A 21,660-nucleotide genomic window follows, 5' to 3' on the forward strand; every position below is an offset into this window, starting at 1 on the left:
GGTGCAGACTCTGTTCTAATTCTGCACTTGGCCAGACATAGCTATGCAAACTGCAGCGAGTCTCTTCCCGCTCTGGGCGCCACCTGACTGACCCGCGTAAGGAGGGACTGTGACTGGTCCCCAGGCAAACGCTTTCCCTGCCACCTGCACCTGTTGCAAGCCAGCTCCTCGGAGCCAGGCCAAGCAGCTCTGCCCCTAGCGGGAGTCGGAGGCATGAAACTCCCTTTTAGGAAGACGGAGTAAGAGGCACCACCACCTGCTCCTGCTGCCTCTGCTGTCCTCAGCTTCTGGGAGCATCTTAGCAGCCAGCTCCGGGTGAGGACAGGGTCCACCGGTGCACATGGCAGAGCAGGGCAGATGCTGTGACTTGGCGGCTTTGGGGGAACAGGGTGGGGCTCCTCCCTGGGAAAAATCTTTAGGTTTGGATCCAGCCTTTATTTAAAGAGGGGGATTGTGTATAGACTTGTGTGACTGTTCAGCCTCTTTCCACCTCGGTGCGTGTGTGTGTGTGTGTGTGTGTGTGTGTGTGTGTGTGTGAGAGAGAGAGAGAGAGAGAGAGCCTGTGGGTCAATGCCCAGTATGCCCCTCTGAGAGTGTGTCTGTTAGTAGACACCAGTGTGTGACATTGCTTCTGTGGGCAACTATGTCAAGGCGTGGGTTTGTCACTGTGTGCGGTGTGGAGCAGTATGATAAGCCGGCGGCCGACCCCCGAGTGTGTAGACGCGGGAGCTGGTGTCAGGGTATTTGTAGGGCTGCAATTCTGTGTAGGTCTGTCTCAGATTGTGTGAGAGTGTCTGTGTTCCAGCAGGTGCTTGTTTCTGAGTGTGAATGTGTGTGAAGCTGTGACCGTCTGTCTCTAGCTCTGCATGGGACGGTGATCCGGTGTGTGTGTGTGTGTGTGTGTGTGTGCGTGCGTGTGTGGTGTGTGTGTGTATTAGAGTGCACTCTAAACTGTGTGGCTGTGTGTGTACGTGTGCGTGCCTGTCACAGTGGCCCAGTCTGCTTCTGGGTGAGTGGGGCAGAGCCCAGAGAGTGTGTGTGTGAGTGTGGGTGTCGGTGTCTCTGGGAAGCAGTGATTCGGGATGTGTGTGTCAGGCAGTGTGCGGCTGTCGCTGTGAGTCTGCATGGGAGAGTGGCGGCGTGCTCTCCTCTGCGCGGCAGTGCCCCGTGTGTTTGTGGGTCTGTGTCTGGGTGTGAGCGTCATGGTGCGTGTGTTAGAGCCCGTGGGGCCCCGGTGAAAGGCTGTGGCTCTGGGTGACTGGTGTGTGTGTGTGTGTGTGTGTGTATCAGAGTGGGTGGCGGCGTCTCTGCTCGGCAGTGGCGCGTGTGGCCCGCCCCGCGCGCGTGTTCTCGCGGGCCGGGGCAGGGCGTGGGCCCCCTCCGGCGGAGCCGCGACCCCTCCCCCGGGCGGCGGGAGGTGCGCACCGGCGCCTCTAGGACCCGGCGGCGGCCGGCCGCTGTCCCCGGGCCGCGCGAGTGAGCATGTGCAGAGCCCGGCGCCCGCTCGCCCGCCCGCTGCCCGCCCCGGCTCCGCGCCCGCCCGCCCGCCCCGCCGTTCAGCCCGGACGCCAGCAGCCCCGGGGAGCCAGGCGGCGGCGCCCTGTGCCCGGGCGCGTGGGTCCGCTTGCCGCGGGCGGCCGGAGACGTGCGGGCGCCGGGGCTTCTGGGCTCCGGGCACTGCGGGGGGCTGCGGGCTCGGCGCCCGGGGAAGGCGGGCCATGGGCGCGGGTGCGGGCGCCCCAGCCGGCCGCGATCGCGGGGTGAGTCCTGTCTCTCGGCGCTCCAGCCGGACCCCCGCGCGGGCTGCGAGCAGGGTGTTCCCCTTGCCGCGGGCAAACAAGTTTGTGCAGACGCGGTTGGGAGCGCGGCGGGGCTGCACCTGCTCCGGCTGCAGGGCGGGCTTGCCGGGGGCACCTTCCCGGGGGCCCGGGGCGGCTCGGCCGGGGCAGGGGAGAGTGAGCGGGTGCGTGCAGGGGTTGTGGGGGGGCGGGGGCGGCGCTCGGCGCGGCCGGGATGGGGTGGGGGTGCGCGAGGCGCCGCACGAGCCGCGTCCCCCTCCGGAGTCCTGAGAGCCCGTCCGTCACCCGGGAGGGCGCTGCGGTTGGTCCCGGGGAGGGGGCGAGGGCAGGGTGTGGGGTGCGCACAGCTTCCCTCCTAGGCGGCGACGTTTACCCAGAAGCAGCTCCCTCTCGTTCCGCTACCAAGAGAGGCTTCCGGTCAGCGGAGGGTTTGCTCCGTCTCTTGGTGAACTTGAACAGAGGCAGAGGCAAAAGCAAAACGTATGTATTTTGTCCAGAAAATTACCTAGTGTAGAGCTTTGCGTCTTCGTAGGTGTGGACGGAGACTCACGACTGAAGGTTGCTAAATTGCGTTTTTCTTGGCTACTCAGGAGCGTACGTACCTGGCTGGGTCCCCTGCCTCCGGGTAACCTCGCTGGTGGTTTTCCTGAGCATTTGTGCGCCTGGGATGATGCCTGCTCTGCTGATCGGGAATGCGGGTGGGGAAGGGGACCGCTCTTCCTTCCGCTGAGCAGTGGGAAGGCTCATATAGGAGTTCTAGCCTCATAGCCCTGCACTGGGATCCAGCTGCTCCCCACACTGGCCCTGCCCCTGCAGCTCCCAAGATGGACAGATGCAGGACTCCGCTGTACTTTTCTAACATGAGATACCCGCATCCCTCTTGTTGCTGGAACAGCATGCTTAGGTTTATGGAGGCACTTGGTTTATCCCACTTTGGCATCAGGAGTGGGGGCCTTTCTTTTTTCCTCTGATTTGCCTAGGTTGTCAGGCACAGAAAGTGAGGGTGGTGGGGAGTGAAAGTTACAGGAGATATAAAGCTGGCTTGCCCTGCGCTGTTTGCAATCACCCACTCCTGGTGGCTGCAGGTGCTGGGGAGAGAGCTAGGGGAGGTTTCCTTGGGCTATGGGAGAATGAGGTTTGTCTCTCTCAATCATGCCCCCACCCCCACACACTTAGATTGGCCCTCAGGAGATCCTCCGGGAAGGGGCCTCAACCGGCTGCCAGAGCTCAGGGTTTCTAGGAGGAAGAGCAGGAGCTCTCCCAGGCATGGGATCTGAAGGAGGCTTGGCGGTGGTTGGGCTGGTGGCTGAGCCTGACTGCCTCATCTTCTCCGCCAGAAGGCTCTCACCTGTGGCTGCATCCTCCAGGCCTCAGCAGGGCCATTTCCACAGCTCCTCTGTAAAAATGCCTTCTTCTGGGGTGAGGGGATCCCTCTCTTCAGTGGGCATTGTGCCCTATGGGGTACTGCCCTGTGGCCTGTGGCATGTCTGGTTGGAAGTGAAGAGAAGCTGGGATAAGGCAGAAGGCCAGACTCCTGTCTCTTCCTCCTGTCTTCCTAACCGAGCAGAAGTGGATATTCAGTGCCACTAGTGGGTCTGCTGCTGAAGCTTGAGCCTCCAACCTGATCAGTTTGGCCAGAGCACTGGGGAATGAGTCACAGAGCTGGTTCCTTATGGCATCAGCCTGAGCAGGCGACTCAGAGCCTCTGAATCCAGAGCCTCCAGGCCCTGATGGAACCCCTCCGAGCAGGGCCTCTAGGGAAGTGGTGTTTCTCATTATAGAAGCTCCAAGCTTGTACTCCCATCCAGCTCAGACCCCCATCAGCCTTGGTGAGACCAGCTCCCTGACTCTTTCTCTGGAGGTACAATGAGGTCAAGGCCAAGGACTTTGGGGCAGCTCAGTGTTTAGACCTTCAGGGCCTTAGGCCTTAAAATGCAGGTGATAATCATATACACTAGCAGGGCCAGAGCTGGGCCCTAACATCCAGGGCTGCTCATCTGGGGAATGAGGGAATGAATGTGGCTTTCCGCTCACCACCTTCTCCCTGGGCCTCCTGGTCTGGCCTTCACATTCTTCCTTTAATCTCTCCTCATCATGGCTTTGACAATCGTGCTGACATACGGCCTGAAAAATTATCGGAAGTGTGCCACTTGGAGAATGTGGTCAGGGAGGAACTCTGCATATGCCCTGCCTCCTGGTGTGGATGTGAGAAGTGGATGGAAGAATGGGCTGGATTCATTTCATCAGCTATGAAATACAGTGCACCTGCTGGTAGCTGTTAAGGCCCCTCCCCTTCACTTCGCTTCCCTTCCTTTGCTGCCGGAAGCCCCTGGAGATGTGAGCTCCCTTCTAGAGAGTGGCTCCCTTGACATGAGGGGGTCGAGAGTATTCTGAGGACAAGGATGTGCAGCAGGCTGTCTTGGCCTCTCTCCCATAGCCCGAGTGCCCAGTGGCAGCATCAAGTTGGGCAGGTCTGACTTTGGTTGGGCACTCCACTCACTTGTCCACCTGTATCCAACTCACTCCGTGGGGTTTCAACACCTGTTTACCTTCCAGATTCTGGGATGGGCTTGAGACGACCCTTAAGCTTTCAGCACCAGGTGGAAGAAACACATGAATAAGTAAACAAAATAAGATTCTATAAAAGAGATAGCCCAGGCCAGGCGTGGTGGCTCACACCTGTAATTCTGGTGTTTTGGAAGCCAAGGTGGGCAGATCACCTGAGTCCAGGAGTTTGAGACCAGCCTGGCAAACATGGCAAAACCCCATCTCTACTAAAAATACAAAAATTAGCTGGGCATGGTGGTGTGTGCCTGTAATCCCAGCTACTAGGGAGGCTGAGGCAGGAAAATCGCTTGAACCCAGGAGGCGGAGGTTGCGGTGAGCCAAGATCATGCCACTACATTCTAGCTTGGGCGACAGAGCGAGACTCCTTCTTGAAAAATAAATAAAAATAAAAGAGATAACCCAGAGATAGGCTGGAAAAGGTTGCGACTGGCTGTTTCAAAAGTGAGAAAGGCTCCAAATCAGGCACCAGGAAAGGAAAAATGCCGGCCCCGGCGCTGGTGCTGTGTCTTTCTGTGTGGACCCAGCCTCCAGCATGGTGCTTGGAAGGATCTCTGTCCTTGGTATTGCACACATGAAGACCATGTGATATGGCTGGTGATGATATGCTCTGGAATCAGAGCGACTTAGCAATAGCCGTTTGTATTTGTTCAAGTTAATTGGCCTTCTCTGTCTCAGATTCTGCATCTGTATGATGGGGACGATAATGATTTTGGCCTCACAGATTTGTGGGAAGATCACTCATTCATTTGTTCATCTGATCATTCATCCAATGCACTTGACAGTTGGTGAAAGTACCTGGAACTCTAATATGGTATGTTAAATTTTTTATTTATATGAACCCCAACAGTGGGTTAATTGAAGAGGTTTCCCTCCTTTGTGTGGAATGGAGTTTTGACCTATTATGTTTTATACCCTTTTAGCAACATATTAAAATTTTGAATCTTTTTTCAAGCTCTGAAGTTCAAACTCTCAAGAGATTTGCCTCATCAAAGACAGGGATCCCACCCCATTTGCATTTCCCAGACCTTGTTCCCCCAAAGGGCCCAACAGATTTTTGTTTAGTGGGTCTCTTGCTTTTTCTCAGTCTCCAAGACCCAGAGTTGTTAGGCCTGTCAGTAATGGCAGCATGGCCCTGAGCATCGAAGGATGTCCAGTCCAGCAGGCACTTATTTTCAGGGGCATTCCCTGTGCCCCACCCAGAGGTGGGCAGAGGCACTGACTGTGCCTTTGACAGGCCTACAGGCTGGAAGGAGAGGTAGGGACATTAGCAGGGAACCCTGACTCAAGACCACACACTACCCAGGCACAGTTTGTAGCAGCAGCCTTGCTGCTTAGTGCCTAGCACTGAGGAGTGGTTCTGCTCCAGAGATCAGGGAGGCTTCATGGAAGAGGAGGCATGGGAGCTGAACCTTGATGGCCTGAAGCATTTCAGAGCCGTGAGATGGGGCACAAGCATCCCTGGCTGGTGGAAGGGCATGCGTGAGGGTGCTTGACGCCTCTCTCGCTAACCAGGTGATGCTCTGGTGGGATACAGGGCTTGCTTGTCAATCCCTGGGAAGCCATTACAGGCTGTGGCATCATTAGCTCCTCATATTAGAAAGATCACTTTCTTAGATGGAAAGGGGACAGTCTTTTGGAGAGGGGATGGGGTACAGAAGCCAGGCGCTATGCCTGAGCGGGGTAGGGGCAGGGGCAAGGGGAAAGTCACAGGAGGGGAATCCAGGAGCTGTGAGCCCAGCTGGAGGCTCCTGCATGTACTCTGCCCGGGTCCTGAAGCTGAGACCCCCTGGCTGCCAGTCACTGAGGCTGAGGCTTCGAGCTTCTAGGACCCAGATGCCCATCACCTTGTCTAGAGAGCAACGTTCTGGGCCCTATTCTTGTCGCTGGGGCTCCTGCCCTGCAAAGAGCAGGCAGCTCCAAGTCCCAAGAGGTTTGCAGCCCTTGCTGCAGCTGCCACAGTAGCTGAGATCCTTCTGGGGATGTCTGGTGTCATTTTCCCTTCAGCTGCCTCTGCCTGTTCTCTCTGACCGGGGGTCACGGGGAGGTTGAGTCATCTGACTGAACCCCAGTGGCCACTGGCTGCACCTGGGCCAGCTCCGAGTTCTATCTTGCAGCCCCCAGCCCCAGGGACTGCCTCCTCTCCTCTCCCTGCTGCCACCCCTCAGTCTCTGGACCCCTAGCCTGGCTGAGAAGTGGCCACCTGACCAGCCCAAGCCACCCATCATTCAGGCTGGGCAGTTGCTGCTCCCTCGGTCCCAGATGGCAACAAAGTAATAGACAAAAGCTCAGGTTGTCTGAATATCCAGGTGCTCTGGGCTCCTGCTCCCTCCCTGAGACTTCCAGAAGCCCATTTGTTCTGTTACTCTCTTCTCATGCTTGACAGGGAACTCAGAATCTCCCTCCCCAGGCCCTGCTCTTCTGTAGGGTGACCCCAGGACAGGGCAGTGGGTGTGCACCTTTGTCCAGCCCTGGCGTGCCCCCTCTACCCCCAATAAGGCCAAGCCCCAGGCAGGGATAGAACCCCTCTAGCCTCCCCCTGAAGCACTCTGCAGGGTTCCAAGATGGGAGGTGCCCACAGGAAGCACACCTTGGGGAAAAATTCTCCAGACTTTCAGAGGGGAGGGGCCCCAGGCTGCCTCCCAGTCCCAGTGGGCTGGGGCGGGAACACTCACGGACAAGGCACTGTCTGGAAGGCTTGGCTGGGGAGACACCATGTGTGGCATCATCTCTAGGAGCTTTGGCCCGGCATGACTTCAAAAAGGTGCTGACAGAGGCGCACTAAACTCCTCTCAAGAATAAATCTTGCCTCGTGTGAAACCGGAGCTGGGATGGGGAGAGAAATAGGAAGCTTCGTGGGCATAATGTAGGCCCTGGGAGCAGGTGGCCTGGTCTGAGTGCTGGCCCTGAGCTGTCTGGCTTTAGGCAGTGTGCATCACCTGGCTGAGCTTCAGAGACCTCAGTGCTCAAATGGGGTATGCGGGGCATTTGCTTGGTGGGTTGTCTGGAGGAAATGAGATGGTGCAGGTAAAGTGCACAGCCCAGTTCAACCTATTCACACTGCAAATGCTTCATAAATGGTGGCATTGACAAAGCAATTGCTAACAGCAGTCTCAGCATGGGGATCAGCTGTGAGCAAGAGTGGGATCCTGGGTGCACTCCAGGGACTGTGGGGGCTCAGAGCTGGGGAGAGGCCTCTTGAGTCTGACTTCACCAGTGGCACAGCTACTACAGGCCCGTCCTCCGGCTTTTCCTTGCTTGCCTCTTTTGCATTCATAACCAATCCATGCCACAGTCTGTAGGGAACAGAGTAGCGGAGGTTTCATGTCCACTCCCTAATTCGATCCCATAAAGCATATTTACCCCCATTTAATGGACAATGAGCCTGAGGCCCTGCCCTGTGCAATGCTTTGCTCGAGGTAGGTTTACTGTCATGGACAGCCTGCTGGCTTTCGGATGTAGTGGGTATAGCTGATGGCCTCCCAGGCCCTATGCAGATGAGCAGTGGCTAGCATTCTGCCCCCGACCCCAGGTGTTGGCCGGTTGTGCTGTCTGACTTACCTCGTGGCTTGGCTGTGAGCCCTTGTGTAGATGCTCCAAGTTTCCCAGCCCACCCCCAGGTCTCTTTTGGGTTCATTCACTTAGCAAACATTTACCATCACTGCCCTGCTAGCTGTGTGCTGGGATCTGGGAACATGGAGATAAACGAGGTGTGGTCTGTGCCCTGGAGGGGGGCTGCCAGCCTTGAGGAGAGACAGTGTGATGTGATGTTGGCTATAAAGTGTGGTGGAAGTCCAGGGCAGGGTGACAAGTTCCTGCAAGTTCCTGATGCTTTTTTTTTTTTTTTTTTTGAGACAGAGTCTTGCTCTGTCACCAGGCTGGAGTGCAGTGGTGTGATCTTGGCTCACTGCAACCTCCGCCTCCCAGGTTTAAGCATTTCTCCTGCCTCAGCCTCCTGAGTAGCTGGGATTACAGGTGCATGCCACCACATCCAGCTAATTTTTGTATTTTTAGTAGAGACGGGGTTTCACCATGTTGGCCAGGATGGTCTCCATCTCTTGACCTTGTGATCCACCCGCCTCGGCCTCCCAAGGTGCTGGGATTACAGGCATGAGCCACTATGCCCAGTCTTTTGTTTCTCCCTACCAGTCTACCCGCAATGAGTTTTCCAGGCTAGGAATCTGCTTTGTGATTTTAAAAGTTGGGAGTGCAGCCTGCTTCATAGAAGACCTGGGCCATGGAAATCTGGCCTGCACGTGGCTGTCTGTTGTGTCCACACCAGCACCCACCTCCCCAGACCAGGGAAACCCCTTCTGGGAAGGGGGAGCGCCAGAAAATACTTTGGAGGACCTTGGGACCCTGTGTGAGATGTATTGAATCCTGATTCATCAGCTCTGACCACTCCTCACCCCAGCCCTACTTGTATTGTATATCCAAATCCTATCTAGAAAGTCTATACGGAATTCACCAGTATACTCTGCCTTCAAAATTCCGAATTGTTGAACTCCTGCCTGCCTTTCTGCTCCATCTCATCAGAAAACTTTTCACAGCAGGAGTGCTACCCTCTTCCCTTCAGTTATACAGGATTAATGTGCTCCCTAGTTTGTAACCGGAGCCCCTTTGTGAGCAGACCTGGAGACCCCTCCTCATAGAATTACATCACAGAAAGGATGACATAAAGCTCAGCCCAGGCACTCTTGTTAACTCCATGCGTCTGAAAGCCCTCAGCTCCGTTAAGCTGTGTTCCTGGACCGCCTGGGGGCCTGTGCCTATGCACTGCTCCATCTCTCCCATGTTTCAGGCTTCATCCATGGCTCTGGGTAAGTGGAATTTGAGATTTCACTGCCCTGACTCCATAGGAGCAGGTTTCTGATGTCAGGATTTGCGTATCAATTTATCTGTGGTCTCGTTCATTTTTAAGATGTATTCATAAACAATGATCACTGAGCATCCACACTCCCAGGCCTCATGCTGGGGCTGGGGTTAGGAAAATGAATGAGGCATGGCCTCTACCCCTAAGGAGATTACAGACTTTGGAGGGTAACCGACAAGTAGATGGACAGTTCTGATCAACCCCGGGATGGTGAGTGCTGGGCTGAGGGTCAGCAGGGGCTGTGGAAAGACTGAGGAATCTTCAGGGAAGCTTTCTCTGAGGAACAATATCTGGCCTGAGCCTTAGAGGATACACAGGGATTTGATAAGTGAAGAGGAAGGAAACAGCATAAATAAAGGGTAGCTTGTGCAAAGGCACCGAGGCAGATGTGCTGTGGTTCCGGTTCCCGGTGGCTCTGCTGGAATGTGGAGGGTGTGTGTGTGTGTGTGTGCGTGTGTGTGCGTGCATGCATGCGTGTGCATGTGAGATGGGGAAGCCAAAGGAAGAGACCTGGCAAGAGATGAGGCTGGATGGGCTGGATCATGAAGGGGCCCTTGTGTGTCATGCTAAGGAGCTTAGAGTTTATCCAGTAACCACAGGGGGCTATTGAACGGGGTTTTAAGCAGGGACGCGCCATGATCAGATGTGCATGTTAGGAGGATCACCCTGGCAGCCTTGTGGAAGATGGATTGGAGGGTCCAAAGCTGGAGGCAGAGAGATCAGTCAGGATTTCTTGGGATTTTCTCTGTGGTTTTACAAATCTGATGAGGTTGTCTGGGGTGGGCCTGGCAGACATATCAGCCTAGAAAATAGAAGCTCTGGAGAACCGTCTGCAATTTCCCAGCCCAGAGTTTAATTCCACCTTCATTTGCTGATTACTGAGTCTGCTACCTCCGCCCCAGCCTAAAGGACCAGCCGACCCAGATTTCCAGATCTCTGCTCTCCCCGAGGGCCTCGGAACCTGGCGGCCCTCGCCATTTACTCAGAGAGGGTCATGCCTATCTGGGGTCTTTGTCCGAAGCCTCCAAGCTTTCTGGGGGCCTGGAATGCCAGCCCAAACATTGTCCTTCCTCTCACACCCGCTGTCTGTCCCTGGTGCACAGAGTAGCCATTGAGTGGCTGCACAGGCCTGGCGGGGGGCCCGGACCAAGTTAGTTACGGGCAGTGGCTTAGTCACGCTTCTAGGGGCCTTTTTTTCTGGGATAAGCCTGTCCTTGTGCTAAGGGCTTTGCTCACGCAACAGCCCAGGTCGTGGCAGCTGCAAAACCCTCTCCCAACCCCAACAGCACACTTCAGAGGTGCCGCCAATGAGAACCGAAACCCAGAGTGACAGCTGAGTCCTGGGGAGTGGAGAGACCCATGGAAGGCAGATCAGAGAGCCTTCTGCCTTCTCTTCTCTGGGTGCTCAGCCTCTGTTTGCAGGTGCACGGCTCAGGCGCTACCCTGGTCCTTTGATTCTGGCCTCTGGAGTCCAGGAGGCCTGGGAAGGCTACACAAGCCCCTCCCTCCCCTGGGCCCCATCCTGTGTGAAAGCCAACGACCAGCCTGTGCAGAAGCTCCTTCCAACCCAGGCTCACAGTTCCAGTGCACCCCTGGGAGTCAGCTGATTGCATGCATATATCAAGCATCTGCAACATAGTCCTGCCTGGGCTAGGTACATTTATATGTGGTAGTGTCTCATTGCAGGCTGGGCCATGCAGTCATTGAGAGTCCAGGCTCCGAACACAGACTCTTCAAAACCTTGGCTCTCCTGTTTACCAGCTGTGTGGCTTGGGAAAAACTAGCTAATATGCCTTCTTTTGCCAGTTTCCTCATCTGTGTAACAGGGATATGATATCTCTAGGTTGTTGGATTGGTTTCAGGGTTAAGTGAGATAATATGTAAAGTGTTTAGCTGAGTGCTTGACACACAGGAAGGGCTGAGGAAGAGCCCCTGCTGCTGTTCCTCCTCCCCCTTATTGATATTGCTGTCATCACTGACTCCTCATTATTCCTCAAGGGGAGAGCTGTTGTCCCCATTTTACAGATGGGGAAGCTGAGGCCCAGCAAGGTTAAGCAACCTACCCAGTGTCACACAGCTGGCCAGTAACAAAGCTGGGATTTAAACCTGGCTTTGTCCAGTGCTCCTGCAACACAGCTGGTCCTTGGATAAAGCAAGCACAGGGTGAGGGGTGTCCCAGCCTGGGAGTGCCAGGTAGTGGACCCGCCTATTACATCTCGGTGCTCTTTCTCCACCTTCCAGATTTCTGCGCCAGGAGATGAGGGGCGGTAGAGCCCTGGAATGGAGATGTCCTTGACGCCTGGGCAGAGGCTGCAGCTGCAGGACCCTGTGGCCACTGGAGATAAGTAATGGTGCCATTTGAACACCTACTGGAAACGGGGCAGGAACAGTGAGTGACCCCAGGCGAGCACAGGCAGGTGCCAGGAGCCAGGATGCAAGGATGACGCCTCCGGAGGCCCTGGCCTCACTCCCACCTGGGCGCTAGGAGCCATCCCGGGGCTCCAGCCAGGAGCCCTGCTGCCCAGGGGCATGGCCAAACCTTTCTTCCGACTCCAGAAGTTTCTCCGCCGAACACAGTTCCTGCTGTTCTTCCTCACGGCTGCCTACCTGATGACCGGCAGCCTGCTGCTGCTGCAGCGGGTCCGCGTGGCTCTCCCACAGGGCCCCCGGGCACCCGGCCCCCTGCAGACCTTGCCAGTGGCCGCCGTGGCGCTGGGCGTGGGCTTGCTGGACAGCAGAGCCCTGCACGACCCTCGAGTCAGCCCAGAGCTGCTGCTGGGTGTGGACATGCTGCAGAGCCCCCTGACCCGGCCCCGGCCCGGCCCCCGCTGGCTCCGGAGCCGCAACTCGGAGCTGCGTCAGTTGCGTCGCCGCTGGTTCCACCACTTCATGAGTGACTCCCAGGGACCGCCCGCCCTGGGCCCCGAGGCTGCCAGGCCCGCCATCCACAGCCGAGGTAGGCGCTCAGCTGCATTTGGGGGAGCTGTTCCCAGGACCCCCCATTCAGGGTCACAGGTTTGGTGTCCCCTTTCTCTCTGCAGGCCTGTGGCCTTCACCGCTAGATGGTTCTTTCCTTCTGCTCTGCAGGACAGGAAGGGGCCTGCGATGCGAAGTCCTTCAGGGTTTTGCTCACTCACCAGCTGGAGTTCCACATGGCTCAAGGCTGAGATGTTGTGAGCAGGTCACTTAGCGCTCCGGCTTTGGATTCAGACAGACATTGGCTGGAATCCTGGCCAACAATTTTTTTTTTTAATCTCAGAGAATCTAGTAGGACAAGTTTCATTGAATATATGAAAATAGGTTGGGCGCAGTGGCTCATGCCTGTAATCCCAGCACTTTGGGAGACCGAGGCGGGCAGATCACTTGAGGTCAGGAGTTCAAGACCAGCCTGGCCAACATGGTGAAAGCCCATCTCTGCTAAAAATACAAAAATTAGCCGGGTGTGGTGGCGCATACCTGTAATCCCAGCTGCTCGAGAGGCTGAGGTACCAGAATCGCTGGAATCTGGGAAGCAGAGGTTGCCGTGAGCAGAGATCGGGCCACTGCACTCCAGCCTGGGAAGGAGACTCTGTCTCAAAAAAAAGAAAAAAAAAAAATTAGACGTGTCACTTAATGTCACCAGGTCTGCCTGAAATGGAGCTAAAGACGCCATTCCTGGGCTATTGTGACAAGCAAATGTGATAACACAGAGGAATGGGTCACAAAGTGGGGTCCCTGACCAGCAGCATCAGCTCCGCCTGGGATCTTGTCACAAGTGCAAATTCTCAGATTCTCCCGGAGTTGCCTAGTCAGGAACTCTGGGGTAGGGGCCAGCAGGCTTTGTATTTAACGCTGTCTCCAGGTGAGTCTGATGCATGCTGAAGCTGAGAACTCCCAGGACAGAGGCCCTGGTATATTATTTGGCACTCTAACTGGCAGCTATTATGACTTAATAAAAGCAGCTAATGCATATGGGATTTCCTATGCACCTGTAAGTCTGCTGTTTACAGGTATTATTATTATATCGCAGTTTTACAGGTAAAGAAACCAAGGCATGGAGAAGTTGAGTCAATTGCCAAGGTTATTCTCTTAGTGTGGGTTCCCTAGAAGCAAACTCTGAAACCAGGATTCACGTGCATCCAGTATATTTGGGATGTGATCCCAGGGAACACTAGTGGGGGCGCGGGAAGTGGGACAGGGAAGGGAAGGCAGCCAGTGAAGGGTGTGTTATCAAGCAGGTTACAAATGGGCAACCAGACTTCATCCGGCTGGAGGCTCAGTACCAGAGCAGAATACACATCTCAAAGGACCCGCTGGAAGTGGCAGGCCTGGGAGACATGGAAGGGACACGGCAGGGTCTACCATCGTCACACTGCTGGATGCCAGCGTGGGGACAGTCTGGCTCCGGGTTGGAGCTGTTTATGCTGAATTATGCAGACTCTCTCTGCAGGGTGCAGCAAATGTGCCTGGTGCTTGGGGAGCTCCCAGTAAGCGTGGAAGTTGTTGTTGGAGGGTGACTGAGCTCAGTCAGCTTCTCAGCATCCCTGTCACCACCTCACTGGGCCCTGCACCCGAAGTCAGAAGAGGAACTGCTCTCTGGACTGTAATAAGTGTGGCCAGAGCACAGTGGACCACCTGGCAGAATATAAAAGGAGATGAGGCAGGAGGAGCACTGGGGCCTGGGTTAGGGAGGGCCACGAGTGCCAGGCCTAGGAGTTTGGCTTTATTTTGATCATGACGAGAAGGTTCTGTGGAAGAGAACGGAGCCCAAGCTGTCCTTACTTTAGGAGACTGACTGGTAGCTCAGTCAAATAAAGACTGGAGGGCTGTGGGTTCATGTCGCTGTGGAAGGAAGTTCCTTCAGAAATCATTCAGGCCATTGCACTTGCTGTAGGATTTCTCAGCAAGGCTCGTGTGTCAGAAGGGAGGGAGGAATGAGGAGCTGATGCTTCAGCTCATTTGACACAGGCATGATTTCTGCAAACTCTCCGCAACACACCAAGAGACTGGGTCTCTGTGCAGGTTTTATCAGTGAAACTTCTTTGGACTAAAGTATACTTGACCGGCAGGAGTCAACGTTACTTGAGAGGAAGCCATGTAAAATGCACACGTTTTAAAAATAGACCTGTGTATTGCCACTTATTGGGCATGTGACCTTGGGCATAGTGGGCTCAGTTCCTCTCTTCATTGCCTTCATTCCACGCTTACTGATGAGCCACCAAATGACTCTTCACGTGTGCACCTCACTGTGCCCTGGAGGAGCTCGGTCTGGTGATAGAGTCAGATATGCACCCAAATTATTTCTACAAAGCACGACCGAGGTCTGCTAGAGGCACGTGCGAAGTGGGCTGTGGACTCAGTGAGAAGTGACCTTTATAACTGACCAGCAGCCTCCCAAAGCGCTAGGATTACAGGCGTGAGCCACCACGCCCAGCCGAGGCAGGCGGATCACCTGAGACTAGGAGTTTGAGACCAGCCTGGCCAACATGGTGAAACCCTGTCTCTACTAAAAATACAAAAATTAGCCAGGCGTGGTGGCACGTGCCTGTAATTCCAGCTACTTGGGAGGCTGAGGCAGGAGAATCGCTTGAACCCAGGAGGCAGAGGTTGCAGTGAGCCGAGATCGCGCCACTGCACTCCAGCCTGGGCGACAGAGCAAGACCCTGTCTCAAAAAATATATATAATAATAATAAAAATAAAAATAGAAGTGACCAGCAGAGGGGAGGGCTCAGCCCTGACTGCAGAGTGTATATGTCTCAGGGAACCAGTGAGCCCCCCTTTACTTTAAGTTACCCCTAATGACTTACAGAAGTGATGGAAGGGGCTCTAGTAAAAGCTAGAGAGATTGTGGCTAGATATAAGCAGGACTGATATCCAAATTTATATACCACTATGGTCTTATCAGTTGTTAAAATAATTATAATACTTCCAGGTTGGCTGGTAAATGGTTGCTGCCCTGGGCCGCTGGGGTGCCATCTACACTCTGGCTGCCTCCCCAGTGGCTCCCAGACCTCCCCCTTATCCAGCAAAGAGAGGGTTAATGTGATTCCAGTGCCAAATGGTGGCAATTCTGAATGGTCAGTGCCCTCCATAGGTTGTCAAGTATTGTGAATGTGTGCCAGGACCGAAGGAAGAATTTGCTCTCCTTTGAACAGCAAAACAACCAAGTCTGGGGAGGCTGTGCTCTCATGGTCATCAGAGAATGGGGGAAGGCAGGGTGCTGGCCTGCAATCCCTGTGGGCCCCTTCCTGTCGTGGGGCTCCATGGGCCAAGCACAGCCAGTCCGGCCTCACTGGTGGAGAGTAGCCTGCAGCCCAGCCCTCAGGACAGCTGCTGGGGCCTCAAACAAAGCGGGTGTCTCTTTGTGGCCCGGGCAGCCCGCCATCCTCCTGAAAGGGGATCCTGTAAGGCGCGGAAGCTGCAGGAGGCTCCATCAATCACTGAGCATTTCATTATACCTTGGACAACATCCATAATGGAATAAAATGTCTGTAAGTTTACTAGGGGAAAAATAGTAACTTCTCCATAGCCAGTTTGTTTTTTATTGATAGTAATTTCCAAAGACATTCCAATATCTTCAAAGCCGTCGTTACTAGCCTCACGGTATGTCCATTTTGATGTGCAAATGAACAGATGCAGAGTGACAGACAATAATGCAATGCCTCCATTTCAGCTGAAAGGAATAAATCCGCCTCAGAGTGGGTCCCAGTGTATCCCTCGGAAGTTCTTTCTTTCCTGAACATTCTCGCCTCTGTCGGGGAGTTAGAAAAGCTGTTCATTCTGCGTCCAGATAAAAGAGCTCGCCTCCTCTTTTATCCCCGTCGCACACTGAGACGGGGCCAGCCAGGCCCGGGCTCGCCCTCCACGCCGGTGAGCTCCATCAAATGGCCAGCTGGTCACAGGTGGGCCACTCCCTGTTTCCAGAAGAACCAGAGCCTGACTGCTTGAAACAATTTTTTTTCTCTCTTTTATTAACGTGTTAATTATTCAGCTAATATTTACTGATCCATCCATCACACGTCCCAGGTTAGAGTGTAGGATCAGAATAATAATGGCTGTTATTTATTTGGACATCTGTTATGTGCCAAGCATTGTATTGTATAGACATACATCTGTTATCTCATTTAATTTAATCTTCAAACAGCCTTATGATGTAAGTGCCGCTATCACTGTTTTAATGATGAAGAATTTGAGTTTCTGGGAAGAAAAGTAATTTAAATGTTTTCATTATTAATAACAATATATTAACAGTAAAAACAATCGCTGCTGAGTAATTACTGCATGCCAAGCCTTGTATTAGACATTTTACATGTGTTACCTTATGGAATTTTCACAACTACCTCATGGAATTGGAACCGTATCCCCATTTTATAGATGGGGAAGTTGAGGCTCAGAGAGAGGCAGCTGCACATCCCAGCTTGCACAGCCAGATAGTGGTGGAGCCTATTCCCAAAGGCTGTCTCCATCCACTTCCTCAGAAGCATGTACAGCCTGGGAAGCATGTACAGCCACGTGCAGTCTCAGTCTGGGAAGGTCTTGAGCCCAAGCACCTTGAAAACCTTGTGGTTAATTTCCCATCTACAATGATAAATGTTTAATAATCCTGAGCTTATGCTTTGGCTGTTTAATTGAAAGCTGAAATGGAACTTCTTTGCTGAGCAACCCATCAGAAATTTCTCAAATATTAGTTTTCTTTTACTAAGTAGGCAGGCAGAGGAGAAGGATCCATTCTCACTGACCCGGGTGAAAGCTCTGTGCAGTGGTCCGTGCTGGTGGCGGTGGACCTGAGACTTACAGAAGTAGAGAGATGCACGTGGGACTGGATGTCTGGGCAGTGGAGGGCAGTAGCATGTGCCTGTGGGCGTGGCCATGTGTGCTGATGGGCGTCCCCAGATGAAGGTGACCTCAAGAGGCTCAGAGCCTGGCTGGGAACCAGACCCTTTGGCAAACACTGGAGAAGGTGGCCGTTGTTCCCTCCTCAGCCCTGGGGTTCTGTGGTCCGAGGGTCTCCTGGGTCCCTTGGGTCTTGGTGTGGTGGGGAGTCCTGTCTCCTGCCATCTCGCTTGTTCTCCTCTGCTTTGCCTTAACCTGGGGCCCTGGATATTGCACCTTGGTGCAGTCAGTAAGACCGTCCTGACTTCATATATATATATATATATATATATACTTATGTACTTCATGCATTACTGCTAGTCCCCATGGATAATAAATAGTACTATAATTGTTCATTCATATATATATATTCAGACAGAGTCTTGCTCTGTCACCCAGGCTGGAGTGCAGTGGCATGATCCCAGCTCACTGCAACCTCCACCTCCTAGGTTCAAGTGATTCTCCTGCCTCAGCCTCTGGAGTAGCTGGGATTACAGGTGTGTGCTACCACATCCAGCTAATTTTTGGTATGTATATATTTTTTGTATTTTTAGTAGAGACGGGGTTTCACCATGTTGACCAGGCTGGTCTCGAACTCCTGATCTCAAGTGATCCACCCGCCCCGGCCTCCCAAAGTGCTGGCATTATAGGTGTGAGCCACAGCACCTGGCCCCCTTCTTTGTATTTAGGCTCTCTGCTAAGTACAAAGAAAAGTCACTCCCCGATTCAGGCCCAGAAGTGGATGGTTGGCAGACTTCCTCCCCTAGGCCACTCAGCAGTGGCCCCACTCCCCCAGCCGCTGCCCTGGACCAGGCTCTTGGCAGGAACAGAGACAGTCTCCCTTGCCCTCACGGAGCATCCAGGCCTGTGGACCATCAGGACTTTTCTCCTCACTAAAAAGCCGCTTGGGAGCCACTGGCAGGCTGCTGGGAGGTCCTGGGCATGTTACTTCCCAGAGACAGCCTAATTTCTCTGGAGGCAGTGGTGCGCTCCCCAGGTGACATGAATGAGCGGAACGCGGCCCTTCCTGGGGAGACGTGCAGCGTGTTTATCACAGGTGCCCGATCCAGATCTCGGCGCAGCTATTGTGGGTGTGCGTTCACGGCTTGGGGACTGTGTGACGGCGTGTTTGCAAATTCCCATGCCGCTCCTTCAAAACACTGGTGCGCGTGACATTTACATGCCTACCCGCGTTTGCATCAGGACTGCCATCTCCCAACTTCTCTGTGCATCTCTGGGAGATGTCTCCCTCCCTCGGGGTGGCAGGGCAGGGCTGTGACAGACTCTCACTGGCGCGTGCACGGCTGGCTTCTCACTGCAGCATGAGTGTCCCCAGTATCCCCTTCCAGGGATGTGTGCAGGTGACCAGCCTGGAGAGGCCTCTGCGGTCACTTGGCCCTGTTGTTTCCCACACAGGACACTTGCTCCCATTCTTAACAGACTCTGCGGACACACTCCAGAGATGGGGTCTTACTCCCTCTTGGGACGACAGACTTTATCTTGAAATAGCTTTCCCCGTTTGAAAGATCTTCCTTAAATTTGCTAAAATCAAACTTGCCCTAACTGATTTCTTCTCTCTGGCCCCCAAGGAGGCAACGACCCTGTCTCTCAGGGCATTTGCCAAGGTAGAGAGGCCTCTCTGAGCCCAGGGAGGGCAGGGCTAGAGAGGAGGGGTAGAGTCCATGAGAGGTAATCCAGCCTTCCCAACTTCTGAGTTGGGGTAGTGGAAGAAAGCAGTGGTCAGGCCGACGCCTGGCTCCTGGCAGAGCCGTCAGGGTGGACAGTGGGCCATTAAAAAAGAGAAAATGGGCAGGAAACAAACAAGTGGGAGGTGTCAGATGCTCACTTTGCTCAGCACTGAGTGGGAGGGAGGTAGCCTGCAGCACTCATCTCCCGGGTTTCTCTGAGAGTGGCCTTGGCCAGGAAGGCAGAGGTTCCCCTGGCTTTTCCTAAGGGTGGGCCCATGATTCCTGGGCCTCTGGTATTAGCCATGCTTCCCTTTCTGCAGGCACCTACATTGGATGCTTCAGTGACGATGGCCACGAGAGGACTCTGAAAGGAGCTGTGTTTTATGACTTGAGAAAGATGACTGTCTCCCACTGCCAGGATGCGTGTGCTGAGCGGTGAGTGCTGGGGCCCTGGACTGTTGATTCTAGAGGCAGGAAGGTCCAGGGACAGTTCCAGAATGAGGAGGCATATCAGCTACCAGTTGGCTGTCATAGCATAATTGGAACTCACTGCTCAGATCCCAGTTTTCCAGAAGAAAGGAAGTTTGTTGGCAGATGACCTGGGTGCCGGGAGCTGGGTGCTGGGTGATGGCCTGGGTGCTGAGAGCTGGGTGACCGCCTGGGTGCTGGGAGTTGGGTGATGACCTGGGTGCTGGGAGCTTGGGTGCTGGTGCTGGGTGCAGGGAGATGCGACTTCCAGTCCAGCCATAGCAGGGACTCAGCGTGTGACTTTGATGAGTTCTTTTCCTTCTCTGGGCCTCAGTTTACTTATATATTTTACAATAAGATAAAGGGCTTTAACTGAGATTTCTCTGAGAGGATCTTTCCAGCTCTGGTAGGAAAAGTATTTTCACCTTGTGTCTATAACAAGGTTTACTTTTTCTGATACTTCCAGCTCACCCAGTAGTTGCCAGACACTTGTCATGTGCCAGGGAAATGGTTCCTAATGTCAAGGCCCTCACAACTGACTGTGTGTCTGTGTGTGCTGCACACACACACACACACACATCTGAGAGAGGTGGGTTAAACAGAATCAGACTTCCCTCTTCACTTATTTCTCCCACAGATTTTTTTCACCTTTTTTTTTTTTTTGAGACGGAGTCTCGCTCTGTTGCCCAGGCTGGAGTGCAGTGGCGCGATCTCCACTCACTGCAAGCTCCACCTCCTGGGTTCACGCCATTCGCCTGCCTCAGCCTCCCGAGTAGCTGGGACTACAGGCGCCCACCACCACGCCCGGCTAATTTTTTGTATTTTTAGTAGAGATGGGGTTTCACTGTGTTAGCCAGGATGGTCTCAATCTCCTGACCTCATGATCTGCCCGCCTCAGCCTCCCAAAGTACTGGGATTACAGGCGTGAGCCACCACACCCGGCCTCACCTTTGTTATGTCACATAAATTCTTTCCATAGTCAGCCAGGTAGCAATTAGTTATCCCCATTTTACAGATGGAGAAACTGACGCTGGAGAAAGAAAAGACAAGGTCCTTACATAAACATACGTTATGGTCTAGATACGGTGGAAACAGGATGATACATTCTCTTTTTAGTCTCCTAATAGATCAGGAAACTGAGACTCAGAGATGGTAAGTCATGTTCAGGGTCTCACCGCCAGGACGTGGTCAAATGGGGACTTGAAGCTTGTGTTTGGATTTTCAGTCTGGGCTTTTCACATCTAAATCCACTGATTTGAAAGTGTTGACTGCTTTCTGTAGCTGAAGTCCTGTGTGATTCATTGAGGGTTCTGTTTCCAACCTTTCTTTACCTACGGTATTACTAGGTCAAAGTAAGTAGAGAAATGGCTGTGGAGATGGGGGCTGTGCAGTAGGGCCCATGTGTAACAAGATGTGACACGTGGCAGGCACTTCAGACCAGCTCACGGCCGCTCACCATGGGAAGCTGTTAAATGTTTAGAGTTGTTGTGAGCCCGTTCTAAAACCATTGGGAGCTTAAAATCTCCTATAGTGGGAGTGTTTACATCACAGAAATTGGCAAACAGTACAAACCAGAGCTCTCCCTGTCGCATACTGAGAACCAGCTTACAGGCACATCACAGATTTAGACCCATTATAACCTGTAACCACGGCACTCTGCAGGGCAGAGCTCAGGGCTGGCAAGAGGGACCAACGGGGCTGGTTCCATTCGTTTATCACAAAGGAAAGACTGTTGCCTGAACTTAGCCTGGTGGCCCTTGAGTCTGGCTAGAGACTGATTCCTAAGGCCAGCCATAGGCCGATGGCTGTGGCCCCTGTCTGTTCACCTAGACCCAAACTCAGCTTCAAGTCCAGTCCGTTTCCTGACTCCAGACTCAGTTGCCATTGCATGACCCACATAAATCCTCTCCACAGTCTGCCAGGTAGCAAGGAGTTATCCCTCTTATACAGATGGAGAATCTGAGGCTGGAGAAAGAAAAGACAAGGTCCTTACGGCACATGTATACATATGTAACTAACCTGCACGTTGTGCACATGTACCCTAAAACTTAAAGTATAATTAAAACAAAAAACAAAAAAAAAACATACTTTCTAATCTACATCAAGCTGAAACAGTCTGCAGTTTAGACCGCAGCCCTAGCTCTGGGCCAAGGTCCGGACTCACCCAGGCCTCCTCCCTGCAGGTCCTATGTCTACGCCGGCTTGGAGGCCGGGGCGGAGTGTTACTGCGGGAACCGGCTGCCAGCGGTGAGCGTGGGGCTGGAAGAGTGTAACCATGAGTGCAAAGGCGAGAAGGGCTCTGTGTGCGGGGCTGTGGACCGGCTCTCCGTGTACCGTGTGGACGAGCTGCAGCCGGGCTCCAGGAAGCGTGAGTGTGCCAGCCTCTTCCTGAGCTTTGTCCGTCTGTCCCACCCG

General features: G+C 53.8%; 1 protein-coding gene across 11 annotated transcripts in view, besides 3 other annotated features; it reads left to right on the top strand.

Annotated features, from left to right (window-relative positions):
• Positions 1-223: 223 nt before the first annotated feature.
• WSCD1 (WSC domain containing 1) overlaps positions 224-21,660 on the top strand; it is a 55,312-nt gene continuing 33,875 nt past the window's right edge. For 2 of the 11 annotated variants that reach the window (NM_015253.2, NM_001388411.1), the window contains exons 1-4: positions 1,487-1,760; positions 11,479-12,193; positions 19,098-19,212; positions 21,429-21,613. In NM_015253.2, the coding sequence (NP_056068.1) occupies positions 11,767-12,193; positions 19,098-19,212; positions 21,429-21,613 (727 nt within the window). In that variant the 5' untranslated portion in view covers positions 1,487-1,760; positions 11,479-11,766. Of the gene's footprint in view, positions 420-1,486; positions 1,964-2,202; positions 2,280-5,042; positions 5,179-9,066; positions 9,185-11,478; positions 12,194-19,097; positions 19,213-21,428; positions 21,614-21,660 lie in introns of those variants that run through there. The other 9 variants (XM_005256572.2, NM_001388410.1, XM_047435701.1 and 6 more) reach the window with 8 other exon arrangements.
• Positions 723-1,554: an enhancer, noted in NCBI's record as "H3K4me1 hESC enhancer chr17:5972935-5973766 (GRCh37/hg19 assembly coordinates)". NCBI's record gives its function as "activates a minimal SCP1, AML or CMV promoter by ChIP-STARR-seq in naive H9 embryonic stem cells {active_cell/tissue: H9 hESC(naive)}" and the evidence as "EXISTENCE:reporter gene assay evidence [ECO:0000049][PMID:30033119]".
• Positions 11,384-11,885: an enhancer, noted in NCBI's record as "H3K27ac-H3K4me1 hESC enhancer chr17:5983596-5984097 (GRCh37/hg19 assembly coordinates)". NCBI's record gives its function as "activates a minimal SCP1, AML or CMV promoter by ChIP-STARR-seq in naive H9 embryonic stem cells {active_cell/tissue: H9 hESC(naive)}" and the evidence as "EXISTENCE:reporter gene assay evidence [ECO:0000049][PMID:30033119]".
• Positions 18,014-18,705: an enhancer, noted in NCBI's record as "H3K27ac-H3K4me1 hESC enhancer chr17:5990226-5990917 (GRCh37/hg19 assembly coordinates)". NCBI's record gives its function as "activates a minimal SCP1, AML or CMV promoter by ChIP-STARR-seq in naive H9 embryonic stem cells {active_cell/tissue: H9 hESC(naive)}" and the evidence as "EXISTENCE:reporter gene assay evidence [ECO:0000049][PMID:30033119]".

Source organism: Homo sapiens, chromosome 17, assembly GCF_000001405.40.
Source record: "Homo sapiens chromosome 17, GRCh38.p14 Primary Assembly".
NCBI classification, from domain to species: domain Eukaryota; kingdom Metazoa; phylum Chordata; class Mammalia; order Primates; family Hominidae; genus Homo; species Homo sapiens.